Source organism: Homo sapiens, chromosome 10 (genome assembly GCF_000001405.40).
Source record: "Homo sapiens chromosome 10, GRCh38.p14 Primary Assembly".
In the NCBI taxonomy this organism is placed as follows: domain Eukaryota; kingdom Metazoa; phylum Chordata; class Mammalia; order Primates; family Hominidae; genus Homo; species Homo sapiens.
In genome coordinates, this window is record NC_000010.11 from 110,866,582 (window position 1) to 110,879,340 (window position 12,759).

General features: G+C 41.3%; 1 protein-coding gene and 1 long non-coding RNA gene across 4 annotated transcripts in view, besides 6 other annotated features; one reads left to right on the top strand and one right to left on the bottom strand.

The window, feature by feature from the left end:
* Window positions 968–1,017: an enhancer, noted in NCBI's record as "active region_4057". NCBI's record gives its function as "activates an Ori minimal core promoter by ATAC-STARR-seq in GM12878 lymphoblastoid cells {active_cell/tissue: GM12878}" and the evidence as "EXISTENCE:reporter gene assay evidence [ECO:0000049][PMID:35858748]".
* Window positions 1,138–1,207: a silencer, noted in NCBI's record as "silent region_2823". NCBI's record gives its function as "represses an Ori minimal core promoter by ATAC-STARR-seq in GM12878 lymphoblastoid cells {active_cell/tissue: GM12878}" and the evidence as "EXISTENCE:reporter gene assay evidence [ECO:0000049][PMID:35858748]".
* On the bottom strand, window positions 2,309–4,323 carry PDCD4-AS1 (PDCD4 antisense RNA 1). Its single transcript, NR_026932.1, has one exon. It is a non-coding gene; the product is annotated as a PDCD4 antisense RNA 1 (long non-coding RNA).
* Window positions 3,845–4,455: an enhancer, noted in NCBI's record as "H3K27ac-H3K4me1 hESC enhancer chr10:112630184-112630794 (GRCh37/hg19 assembly coordinates)". NCBI's record gives its function as "activates a minimal SCP1, AML or CMV promoter by ChIP-STARR-seq in naive and primed H9 embryonic stem cells {active_cell/tissue: H9 hESC(naive and primed)}" and the evidence as "EXISTENCE:reporter gene assay evidence [ECO:0000049][PMID:30033119]".
* Window positions 5,347–12,759, top strand: part of PDCD4 (programmed cell death 4) — a 28,079-nt gene continuing 20,666 nt past the window's right edge. For 2 of the 3 annotated variants that reach the window (NM_014456.5, NM_001199492.2), the window contains exons 1-2: window positions 5,347–5,437; window positions 9,385–9,489. In NM_014456.5, the coding sequence (NP_055271.2) occupies window positions 9,447–9,489 (43 nt within the window). In that variant the 5' untranslated portion in view covers window positions 5,347–5,437; window positions 9,385–9,446. Of the gene's footprint in view, window positions 5,438–9,384; window positions 9,490–10,088; window positions 10,173–12,759 lie in introns of all 3 variants that reach the window. The other variant, NM_145341.4, reaches the window with a different exon arrangement.
* Window positions 5,460–5,509: a silencer, noted in NCBI's record as "silent region_2824". NCBI's record gives its function as "represses an Ori minimal core promoter by ATAC-STARR-seq in GM12878 lymphoblastoid cells {active_cell/tissue: GM12878}" and the evidence as "EXISTENCE:reporter gene assay evidence [ECO:0000049][PMID:35858748]".
* Window positions 5,540–5,689: a silencer, noted in NCBI's record as "silent region_2825". NCBI's record gives its function as "represses an Ori minimal core promoter by ATAC-STARR-seq in GM12878 lymphoblastoid cells {active_cell/tissue: GM12878}" and the evidence as "EXISTENCE:reporter gene assay evidence [ECO:0000049][PMID:35858748]".
* Window positions 5,900–6,099: a silencer, noted in NCBI's record as "silent region_2826". NCBI's record gives its function as "represses an Ori minimal core promoter by ATAC-STARR-seq in GM12878 lymphoblastoid cells {active_cell/tissue: GM12878}" and the evidence as "EXISTENCE:reporter gene assay evidence [ECO:0000049][PMID:35858748]".

Sequence of the window (12,759 nt, forward strand, 5' to 3'; positions counted from 1 at the left end):
ATCTTAGGCCAACACAAATGTCAGCTATCATCATTATTATAAGAATTCTTTATGCAGCTCTTTCTTCAGAACATGTTTTATATCTTTTACCATTTGTGCTAAAGTGCAATTTTTGCCTTAGAGAAATTCTCAAAATTCAGGCTTTGGTTTGACAAAAGGAGACAAGGCGTCAGTTCAGGTAGATGAAGTTGCTGCAAATGACAGCAGCATCTAAAATTTCTTAGGAAGGAAGTGGGCTAAGACCTACCCTTAGCCCCCAGAAAGACAAATTCTCCTCAATTTCATTTAGGGGCATGACCATTTCTTATTAAGAAACAGAACTCTCAAATGAGGCTTTACCCTAAGAATGAAAAGGCCTTGGAGAGTTCCAAAGGCATTAATAGTAAATCTAGGTGCTTATCTTTTGCCTTCAACTGTGCTTTTTCAAGTACTTTACCCAAATTAATTAATTAGTGCTCCTAAACCCACACCAGCCATCACTTTGCCTTTGGGATGGAGGGAGGTGATATTATCTGAGCTTTGCATTAGGAGAAAGCCCCTGGGTTGACAGTCCCTCTGTCCATACCCGGTGGAATCCTCTCCTGCCAACAGTGGCAAACTCCTTTGTTTGTTTGTTTTGAGGTGGAGTCTGTCTCTGTCACCCAGGCTGGAGTGCAGTGGCGGGATCTCAGCTCACTGCAACCTTCGCCTCCTAGGTTCAAGAGATTCTCCTGCCTCAGTCTCCTGAATAGCTGGGACTACAGGCATGCACCACCACGCCCAGCTAATTTTTTTGTATTTTTAGTAGAGATGGGGTTTCACCATGTTGGTCAGGCTGGTCTCAAACTCCTGGCCTCAAGTGATCCGCCCACCTTGGCCTCCTAAAGTGCTGGGATTACAGGCATGAGCTACCACACCCGGCCAGCAAACTTTCTTATCTCTTGTTCTCCATTCCCAGGACTCCCATGGTACCAACTCAGTACCTTGCTCAGCATCCCAGGGTGTTAGAACTGAATGGCTGCTTATGGACTCCCTGCAATGGGCACCTCCTTCTTTTACAGCACAGAAAATTGAAGCATTCAATTCACTCAGGGAGAGGAAGTGAAACACCCAAAGCAACACAGCTAGTTAGGGACAGGGTCACTACCTTGTCTTAAGAGGCGAAAAATAGGAACTATCTCCCACCCTCTCCCCTGACAAAACCAAACACTCTTTGCGCCCCTCCAAGTATCTCAATACTGCTTAAGCCTGAGGAGTACGGGGAAGATGAAGTATGTAACGTTTATCTACTCACAAAGCACAGAGTTTCTGTTGCCACCTCTGAGCAGCTGTCTTGTTCTGGGCAACTGTGATCTCCCTTCCTCTCCTAAGCTCTTGGAATGAATCTTTCTTAAGGGAAATGGAAGTTGCAATTCCATTATTCTGTATAGAGTGAGTTAAGGGGAAGGCCTCTCTCCTTTTCTGTCATCTAATAGCTAAATTAACATAAGCCCATAGGCACAGGGATTCAGGTAACAGAAACCTAGTTTGTGACAATTACAACGTGAAATGAAAACATACATTGTGGCCCAGAAGCCCGGGCAGCCCTAGGCTTCAGATATTACCTACCCTAAAGTAGTATAATGCCTTTTACCAAGAACACAGCTGAATCAACTGTGCTTTTCATAGAACAGGCACACACTAAAATATTTGTGGATTGATTTGGTAGGCAAAAATTCTTGGCACTTGGATACTTCTCCATTTTCAGCTTATTCTTAAAAAAATTTTTTTTGTTAAATGTTCAGCTGCAAAGGCACAGGTGACTAAGTGTTCAACACAGCTGGAAGGAATGTTGGTGACAGTGGCTGTCATCTATATTTCCCAAGTTGGTTTCTAAATAACACTGCTTCTGGGGTATCTTGAGAAAAAAAGGTTCTGTGTTTAAACAAGGTAGGAAACATTACTAATCTTCCTACCTTGGTCTCCCAAGACACTAAAGGCACATAGCTTATTAAAAACACTGAGAAGGCTGGGCACGGTGGCTCATGCCTGTAACCCCAGCACTTTGGGAGGCCGAGGAGGGCAGATCACTTGAGATCAGGGGTTCGAGACCAGCCTGGCCAACATGGTGAAACCTCAACTCTACTACAAATATAAATATTAGCCAGGCGTGGTGGCAGGCGCCTATAATCCCAGTTACTGGGGAGGCTGAGGCAGGAGAATCACTTGAATCCAGGAGGCACAGGTTGCAGTGAGTCAAAATAGTGCCATTACACTCCAAACTGGGCGACAAGAGCAAAACTTCATCTCAAAAAACAAACAAACAAACAAAAAACCACTGAGAAGAGTTGTGGGTAAAGAAACAGTTTTATTTTTGTTTAAACGAGTTATTTCCAAGACCATTTGACCATGGAACAATCCCTCCCACATTTTTTTTTGCATGATATCTATTAAAGTTCCACAAAATTCATGTTCTTTGGAAAATAACTTGGGAATTACTGATTGAGCCCAATTTCTGAATTTTATTGGTAAAGAAAAAGGTCCTGAGAGGGGCTGAAGTTCTTACAGGAAGTTAGTGGGGGAGGTAGGACGACAACCCTATTTCCTGAGTGTCTGGCCCAACCTTGTCAACCACACGCAAATACGGCAGCATTCTCAAAGGTGGGTTCTGGGATCCCAGCCATCATGGGTACTGCTTGAGATGATACGCAAAAAGGACATGAACGTTTTCCTCCCTAATGGGTCCTTTGGGGGCAATTTGCTAAAACATAACAGGTTGTTTTAGATGCTTCTTAAAATTGGTAATCATATCCCATTCTTTCTTTATCTCATAGAACTCGGGATGCCTACCCAACACAGCCTGATTATGCTATATGTGCTTAGTAAGTACATTCAATGAATGACTAAATGAAAGACAGGGAGGAAGAAGGAAACAGTCCAGAACTGAAAGGGATGAGAAGAGAAAAAATGTGGAGAAAGAGAAGGATGGGTAACAAAGGAGCCAGCAGTCACTGATCAGTAGAGTATAGGTGAGAGAGGGGAAAGGAGACAGCTGCAGATAATGGAAAATAACAAAACAAAACTGAGGTCTGGGAAGCTCCGATTTTAAAAAGTGAACATGAGTTATGAGACTAATTCAGATACTGGCCACACCAGGAGGCCCCCGCCCAGGAGATGAGGATGACCACCAACTGCTGAGAATCTTTGTAAACTCAAATCAAGGTGTATTTATTGCACAGGCACAATAAATGAACAAGGCATCTTAAGTACTACAATGACAGGTGAGTGGGTCAGGCACAGTGGCTCACGCCTGTAATCCCAGCACTTTGGGAGGCCGAGGCAGGCAGATCCCTTGAGCTCAGGAGTTCAAGAGAAGCCTGGGCAACATGGCAAAACCCCATCTCTACTAAAAATACAAAAAACTAGCTGGGTGTGGTGGCACAGGCCTGTAGTCTCAGCTACTTGGAAAGCTGAGGTGGGAGGATGGCTTGACCCCAACAGGTTGAGGCTGCAGTGAGCCAAGATTGCACCACTGCTCTCCAGCCTGGGCAACAGGGCAAGACCCTGTCTCAAAACAACAACAACAACAAAATCACAGATGAGTAAGACACAGGTCTTTCCCTAAACAAGGTTACAGTCTAATGGGCAGAAGGGCTAGGACAGGGACTCAGATGAAATAATGCCAGGTAGAATGTGATCAGTGCCCCTGGAGGTGTGGCAAGCCAACACTGTGAGGAATCAGCGGCAGGAAGATCATATCAAATCACGAGGCTCCAGAAAAACTACGAGGGTCCAGGAATGGTGGCTCACGCTTGTAATCTCAACGCTTTGGGAGGCAGAGGTGGGCTGATTGCTTGAGCCCAGGAGTTCAAGACCAGCCTGGACAACATGATGAAACCCTGTGTGTACAGAAAATACAAAAATTAGCTGGGCATAGTGAGCTGTGCCTGTAGTCCCAGTTACTCAGGAGGCTGAGGTGAGAGGATCGTTGAGCTAGGGAGGCTGACGGAGGTCGAGGCAGCAGTGAGCTGTGATCATGCCACTGCATTCTCCTGGGCTAAAGGGCAAGCCCCTGCCTCAATTAAATAAAACAACAACAACAACAAAATAAAAAACTACCAGGAAGGGCCATGAGGCACAGAAGGATTGCATCAGGCGGAGATAGGAGATGAGAAGAGAGACATTTCAAGGTGATATATAAAGAACTACCAGGGGGTGAGGAAGCATATGGGGAGATGTGTGGAGACACAGCCTGAAAGTCTTGAAGTCACATCACGGAGCCTTGAATGACCGACCGAGGCGCTGACACTCAAGAGAGGCAATGGGAAGCCAGTGAAGGTTTGTGTGTGTGTGTGTGCGTGTGTGTGCAGAGAAATAGTAGCATTAGAGATGATTCCCAGGCAGGGTGACTGGGCAGCCAAGGGAAAGCGCTGGCCTGTGCGGGATGAGGCAGTTGGGTTCTGGAGAGCACAAGCAATCATTCGGTGCTGCCCATCAGACAACTGAAAAATCTGATCAGAGGCAGTGGCTAAGTCCCCGCCTGGGAACACAAAGGAAGCCTAAGGTTCTGGTTATCACCCTCAGGGGACCGTGACCTTGAAAGAGTAAGGATAGTACCAGCCAAAACCAATGCAGCCAAGAGGAAAAGTCACAGAGAACAGCGAGGGGAGGTGGAAGTTTCAATACAGAAATTGTAGCCATGGCTGAGAACCCCAGCACTGGAGGCCGGAATTTGTGCGTTTGAACGCCAGAGGCTTGGCTAGTCATGATTAGCAAAGGAACTTCAAAGAGTTTTGGAGCCTGCTTTATATCTGTGAAATGGGAATTATTTCCATCTCAAAGGTTTGAGGGGATTCGCTGAGAGAAACTTCTTAGCATGGGATCTCCAGAAACTGGAAGCCACAGAGAAAGCAGCGGCCAGAGGGAGGAGGAATCGGACAGGCTGATCACTTGGAGTGTTCGCCTAAGCAGTTTCTAGAAATGGAGGCAGGGACCATCAGGAAGCTCAAAACCTTTGCTTCAGCCGAGTTTGCAGAACGCCCTGTGAGGAGAATGGGTGAGCTGGGTCGAGGAAGCTTCATCCTCGTCCCCATCCCCCAGCACTGCCCTTTTCCCAACGCTCCCATCCCGCCACGCCTCCCAACATACCCCCACCCCGACTTCCCGCTCAACTCCCGCTCCAGCCAGTCCCAGGAGCCACATGCGCATGCGCCCTCCCGCGCCCCTCCCCAACTTTCCACGTTTCACTCCTCTCCCTTTTCCTCCTCAGCTCCGGCTCCGCCGCCACGATTGGCCAGCCGACCACCCGGCCTCGGCCAATAAGCGCCGCCCTCTCGCCCCCGTGTTACTGGGTAGAAGAAAACAAAAACAAACAGAGCGAGAAGGGCCAGAGACTCTCCGAGGCGGCGGCAGAGACAGAAGAGCGGGGTCGGGGCCGGCTGACCAGGAACCTGGGCGAGCAGCGGCGGGGGCCCGAGGGGTCAGTACCAGTAGGCGCGGCTCACACGCTCGGGAAGACTGCGCCCTCTCCCCCATCCCTCCTCGGAGGCAGCCGCAAGATGGGAGGGGGCGGGGGCGGAGGCGTGGGGGTCGCGGTCCTGTCAGGTCCGGGCCTGCGGTGCGGGGGTCCGGCTGCCTTCTTGTAGCCCCGCAGGTCCAGCCGCGCCCTCCCCAACGCCCCGGACTGCGGGCATCCGGCCTGGTTCCCTCTTTCTGAGCCCAGCCTGGAGCGTGTCGGCGCGGGCCCGCCCCCTCCCGGAGCCATCTCCCCACTGAGAGGGGCGCGCGAGGCGCTCGCCCTTGAAGGTCCCCCTCAGCCCTCCTCCCCCTCTGGCGGAGGTTGAATTCGGGGGCCGGGATTGGAAGGCGTGTTTCCGGCTGGACTGAAATCCTGTGAGGAAGATTCGCGCCCTCCCCGCCCCCTGCCCTCCCTGGGAATCCTCTGAAGATGCGGCCCCCTGTCCTTCGTGAACCCGGAGCCCCGGCCTCGGCCCCGGCCCAGCCCCTTCCGGGGGCCGACCCGGGCTGGGACTTCGGGGGTCCTAGCCTGAGCCCGCTGCGGGAGAACAGGCCCGGCCGCTGTGGGGAGGGGCCGCGCGCTATCCTCGCCGGGGGCGCTGGGAGGCGAACACGTGCCCGCCGCCCCATCCCTGCGCGAACTTCGTCGCGCCCGTCTTCCGGCAAAGGGTCTCTTTTTTTTAGTTTAGGTAAAATAAAATCTCCCAGAGAAAACAAAGCCGGGAAGGGAGCCCCCTTTCTGTGAAACGCATGCCATCTTCTCCATTTGTCAGTTTGATGCTGTAACGTACATGGGGTTTTGCAAGAGCTTCAAAACTGTCTGCAGACGTCAATTTCGCCCCCCTCCCCCTTGTGAGAACTCGCTACGTAGCCAGCAACTGTGTAGTGTCTACAAATGATGAAAACGATCAGAAATGCGATTAGGTGTCGGGGAAAAAAGGGTTTCCCCTGTTTTTAACTTGTATTTTTACTTTAATTGTTACAATCTTGATATTCTTAACGTGACTTTTTTGGGAAACCACCAAGTGCTTTTTAAGCAAGGAGTTACTGGTATTTATGCCCTTAATATTCCTTCATTATAGGCTTATTGAATACGTTAATATCTCAGTAAGTGTATTTGAATTATAATTGACTGGCTTTTTCTGTGGTACTAATGTGAAAGGAAAAAATATTAGGACTGCAAAAATAAATGCCGCTTGAATATTATCTGTAGTGCTTGCTTTTGCATTACTGTAGTAGAATGCTTTTAGCTGGTTTTAAGCTGCTAATTAGCCGTTCGTAGCCGAAGAATGAATACAAGTAATCCTAGTTAATAAATGGCCAAAGCTTGACTCCCCAAAATGCCAGAGCAATTTATGAGGTATATTTCAGGAAATACATATGTATATATTTCGTGGGGGAGTGGAGGGTCTGTCTCTTAGGGAATGTCTTGGCAGTTGAATACTTCTGATTGTATATTTCGTGTAACACACTGGAGAAAAGAACAGTGTTTAATGTCAGCCTTCATTTTCTTCTAACTTGTATGTATAGTTTTCTCATCGAAAATTCATTTTTGTAGGTTAGTATGAAGGAAATAGCGTTTGGATTTTTTGCTTTATATTTTCTTGTTTGGGCCAATTAAGGGTTGTTAAATAAATTGGAAAAAATCCTACTACTTTAAAGAGCGTAAAAACGTGGAACATGTCTTATCTAAACTCTTAAAACGTGTTTGTTGCTGTCAAATATGACTTGAGTTCCTGATCGGGTTATCATTGCCTAAAGACACAGGACTATTTTTTTTATTAAGATAACTTTGTTTTTATCTTAATAAAAGAGATGATAGTCATTTCCTGACAGTTTTGTCTGACGGAATGCCTTCTGTATAATAGTTTAAAATAATTATTTTTAGTGTTTGGAAAACAGCATTTAAAAGTTTGAACAGCAGAAGTCTGTTTTAAGAAGCTTCTGTTAACCCTTGAAAAGAATCTTCCTGTGGGATATTAAAATTTTGGATTGAACTTGTGCAAACAGTACTGGATTTGGAAGGTCTGGATTCTCATCCTGGCTGTTCCACTAAGCAGCTGTCTGTCCTTGGACATATCACCTACCCTCTCTGAATCTGTTTAGTTGTGTGTAAGGTGGAATACCTACCCGAAGGTTTTTCTGTAAGGTACATTAAATAATACATGTACAATTCTTTTTGAATTGTAAAGGGCTTTATGAACATCAATTATAATCATTTCGCTTATTAGGTTCTGCAGAAAGTATTCTCTCAAAAGTTATACTTTCATCAAGAATGAAAAAGACTTTGTAATGGAACTCTAAAAAACTGAAACACGTATCATATGACATTATTCCTTTCCTATATGTATTTCATGCATGGAATTAAAACAGAATGTAGCCTTTTCAGCCATGAAGGATGCTGAGTGTTTAGATTTGCAAACCATTTTTGTTCATATATTTATATGAATCTCTACATATTTTTAAGATTTTTTTTTCATATCTAAAGTTGGCGGGAGTTATAGTGAAAAGTGATTATAAAGATTCACATATATTAATTTATTCTTAACAGAATTAGAGAATGATCTCACCATTTTCTTAAGTTCCCAAGCAATATGATAGCATATTAGTCTGAGGATTATACCATAGTAAGAAGCCTATAATTTTAACATAAGGTCCATTTGTTTTTGTTTCACAAAATAATACCGTTTTCTGAAGAAAAGGGCTATAAACTTATGTTAGCAAATAGTAGTACATAATGAGGAATTTAAAAGTCAGTTTCACCTTTGAGTCCCAGGAGGCTCTGTATATATCATTGTTATCCTAAAATGACATCTAACAGTAGGTTAAGTTATATAGGAAAAAATGTGCTTTTCTGTAATTAATTTATTAGGCATTTTCACTAATTTGTGCATTTTATATCTCTGAAGAGCACACTGCTAGCAACCTGATTGTAAATGACCAGAAGGACTTATATCCAACCTATGTGACTTAAACATACACTTAAGTACTCTAAACCACTATTTAAAAAATACTTCTAGAGAGATTCTGAAATCTTAATTTGGTTGCACTTTCTGGTAATATATTTTTTGAAAACTATTTTGATATTTCTTTCATATAACATTATTGGATCTGTATCACTAAGTTAATTGTCTAAAAGGTAACTGATTTCATCAAACCTTCCAGTATTAATAATTTTTAAGCCATTTTGAAACTGAGGCCTAAAATACTGAAATGCTTATGTCGTTGTACTTACTCCTTTCTGAAATGATCAGATTTTTAAAAAATGGATTTCTCATATAAATAATATTATCAAAAAAGGATTTCTCATATAAATAATATTATCAAAAAAGCTGATTTTAAAAGTTTCTCCCAAAGTCTTATTCTAGTAATTATAGAGACCTAGGTAATGAGTGGCAGATATATCTGCCTTTCAGATATGCCGTAATGTGAAAAATAACACAGTCATGTGATATTCTTTATTAACTAAAACTGTGTTGTTTTTATTTTGGAGTAGTTCTCATAATTCATTGGTAGGGAACTATCCAGTATTTATATTCCTATGTATGTATATCAGATTAATTTTGAGGCTTGGTATTCCTAAAAGATTTGGATGTGTGTATTTCTTTAACTTGACGTAAACATGTATCACAAACATATCTTTTAATTCCAATTAAAGGGGTGCTTTGGCACATGCTGAAATCTGGGATTTTTTTTTTTGACTTTGATAAATTTATCAAAAAGATTGGAACCAAATGTTAATTAGGGTAAGTTGTCTTTGAAAGTAAAGTGAACTGTTTTATTTAATGGAATTGTGTGTTTTTTGTTGTTGTCGTTTGTTTTTACAGTGTGCTTAAGTAAGTTTAATTCAGCTTAATTACATCAGTTTAAAAGATCTTGAAGCTTTCTTTTTTTCTTTTAAAAAAACAGATTCTGAAGGAAGATTTCCATTAGGTAATTTGTTTAATCAGTGCAAGCGAAATTAAGGGAAAATGGATGTAGAAAATGAGCAGATACTGAATGTAAACCCTGCAGGTAAGTAAGGATATCCTTTTTTCTTTTTTTCTTCGTTTTGAGACAGGATCTTGCTCTGTCACCCAGGCTGGAGTGCAGTGGTGTGATCATGGCTCACTGCAGTTTTGACTTTCCTGGGCTTAAGAGATCCTCCCCTATCTCAGCCTCCTCAGCAGCTGGGACAACAGGTGTGTGCCACCACACCAGGCTAATTTTTTATTTTTTGTAGAGATAGGATTTCACTATGTTGCCTAGGCTGAAATATCTTGAAGCTTGACTATGTTGTGAGGAAGCTTCAGACCATTCCATATTTTATAAAAACATGATAGAAAAACTATCTTTAAATACTCTTTTATTCATGCTGTAAGAAAACAGGCTATATTATTTTTAAAGTCAAGTTTGTGATTTTTATTTTCATGGAAATTCATTACATGTCCTATTTTTCTGCCTATCCTTTCACATTCCACATATTCCTATTCTCTGTTATATAGTACAGAATAGAGAAGAATAGTGAGCCTGCTTATTTTCACATGGGCTAGTTAGTGATTTCTGTAATATAAACTTACTGGTATCTTTGGTATCTTTCCTAACAAATAATTTTTATATTCTAAATTACCTAGGGTATTTTCCCTAATTCTCCATGGTGCTTCAATAGCATGTTATTATCATAAAAATGAACAGTTTTGTGGAATAGATGACCAAATGTGAGTAACTCAAGATAATTTAAAATGTATTTATAGTTTTAAAAATAATCTCCCAAAAAGTTAATTAGAATTGTGTAATATCTGAATAGTGAGAACAGTTCATATTGGTATACTTTGGATAATTCTTTGTCTTATAATTTTATTAATATTGAAAGCTATTTTCTGTCATTTTAAGTGTATTTCGTAACTAAATACTACATCTTTCTTTCCTCAGTGACTTAACTCACTATTGTTTACAATGTACATAGTTTTCTTTGATCTGAACAAACATGTTGAATTTGAAGCTTCTTTACCATTGTTTATTTACAGATCTTTTTAAAGTATGGTAAAAAATTGAAAAAAATTTATGTAATTAATGATCATTTCTGTGCTGCTGTATACAATAGCTGTATGAGTATGCTTTAGGGTTATAAATGGATAATATGTACCTACTTAATTGAGATGGGGATGGTAATACAGTTTAGAATATATTTTACATATAGGTAATTGCTTCTTTTCTGCACTGTCCAGTATGGTGACCACTAGCTACATGTGGTTATTACTCCTGGGCTCAAGTGATCCTCCCTCTTCAGCCTCCTCAGTAGCTGGATTACAGGCGTGTGCACCACTGTGCTTAGCCACATGTGTTTGTTGAGTACTTGAAATGTGGCTACTCTGAGTTGAGATGAAGGTCAACTATCTCAATAATTTGTTATATTGCTTGCATGTTGAGATGATATGGTTATATTAGATTAAATAAAATATATTTAAATTAATTTCACCTGTTTTTACTTTTTAATGTGGCTACTGGAAAATTTAAAATTTCTTATATGGCTTGCATTCTATTTCTATTAGAAATAGAAACACAGCTTTAAAATGTGTACTTTTTGTTTCCTAACTACAATAAGACCTAGTTCTAACCCTGTTCTTGGTGCTTGTGTCCAGCACTGCTTTAAAATAAAAGACTTGTTCTTCAATATTTGAATAGGCCTAAGATAGACCCTCTTTGTAGTAAATTCTTCACATAGCAAATAGTCCAAGTCACACTCTTACTCTTTTACTTGGAGGAAGTAGGTTATTCTGACCTTCAGTTTTTTCATGTATAAAATTGGGATATAAATACCCTCTGTATAGATTTATAATTAGGATTTAGTGAGATATTGTATATGTGTGTTAAGTCTGTGAAGCACATACTAGGTATGTAATACATGAAAGTGTGGTAATGTTATTCTAATTATGCCACTCATTGGACACCAGTAATTGAAAATGTGATTTTCTGGTGCTGTGGTCATATACAATTGGAGTGGTTACTATTGAGATATCAGAATTCAGAAAGAGGGAATTAGTACACAGTAGGAAACAATTTTGAAGTCAATCACATTCTGTACTCAGCTTATCATTTTAATTTTGGTTTTCTTAAAGTCAGCTCAATAGGGGTTATGGAACTCCAACAGTTAGGTGAGTATGAGTAACAAAATATAAAGCAATTAATACAAACATGGGTTAAAAATGATAAGGTCAAATATATAAATTATACTGAGAGAATGTTTACTGCTGCAGAGACACAAACATACTTGAAAGGATGTTAAAATTGTTGAAGAAAAGAAAACTCGATTATGGGAAATAGATGTATTTAAATTGAATACTCCAAGGGACAGTTTAAGACATTTTATTATAGTTCTGACTCCTGTGTCTTCTGGACCAGTTTTGTGGTTCACCTTAATGGCACAATGATGAAAGCACTATGTTACAGGTAGATGTTTAATGTTTTTCTCAACCATCCACTCTTACACGAAAATGTCATCTAATTTATGTGATCCTGATCTTTCTGTCCCCTTCCACTTAATCATTTTTGTTTATCTCTCTTTACATTCACGCCCTTGTTCGTCTCTTTAGCTGTCAATACTCTGCTGTATTCTAGTTTTGTATTTTCTGTAGTTATATGGGATTAAAAATGTGGGTTTGAATTCTAGCCATAATCCTTTCTAGATATGTAACTTCTTGTGAAACACATTCCTTCTGTAAAATGAGGATAAACAGTTTCTTTCTAGAGCTCTTGAAGCTTATAGACCACATATGTAAAGTGCCTTAGCTAATAGGTACCAGGTAGTGTGGAATCTAATAGGTACCAGGTAGTGTGGAACCTGGTATCTAATAGATGACAATAGTAATGGTAATGATGAAAGAAACAGTACTACGACTACTTCCACTAAGACTATAATTACTACTGATGGTTATGATGATGTCCCAAACACACCATCCTAACACCGGCTTCTTACCAGTTTGAAAACTTTTAAGGCATTGTTTGACTTCTCTTTAATCCTAGATACATTCTGCTTAAAAGTCCTTCATTATTTTCTTTAAAAGTGTAACATTATTATTTATCCCACAGTTACTACCCTTGCTCTTTACCAGTTAGCTTGTGACTGAATTACTGAAGCATTTTCTTAGCGGTTTCCTACTTTATACTTTCTCTTTTTGTAATATACTCAGTATTCTTCTGCCAAATGAATCCCTCCCATCTCTTCCCTATGATATCTAACTTAAGCTCTGACAATTTGAGTGTGGGAGTAGTTAGCAGTGATTCTGGTGAGGTAAGCAGGGGCAA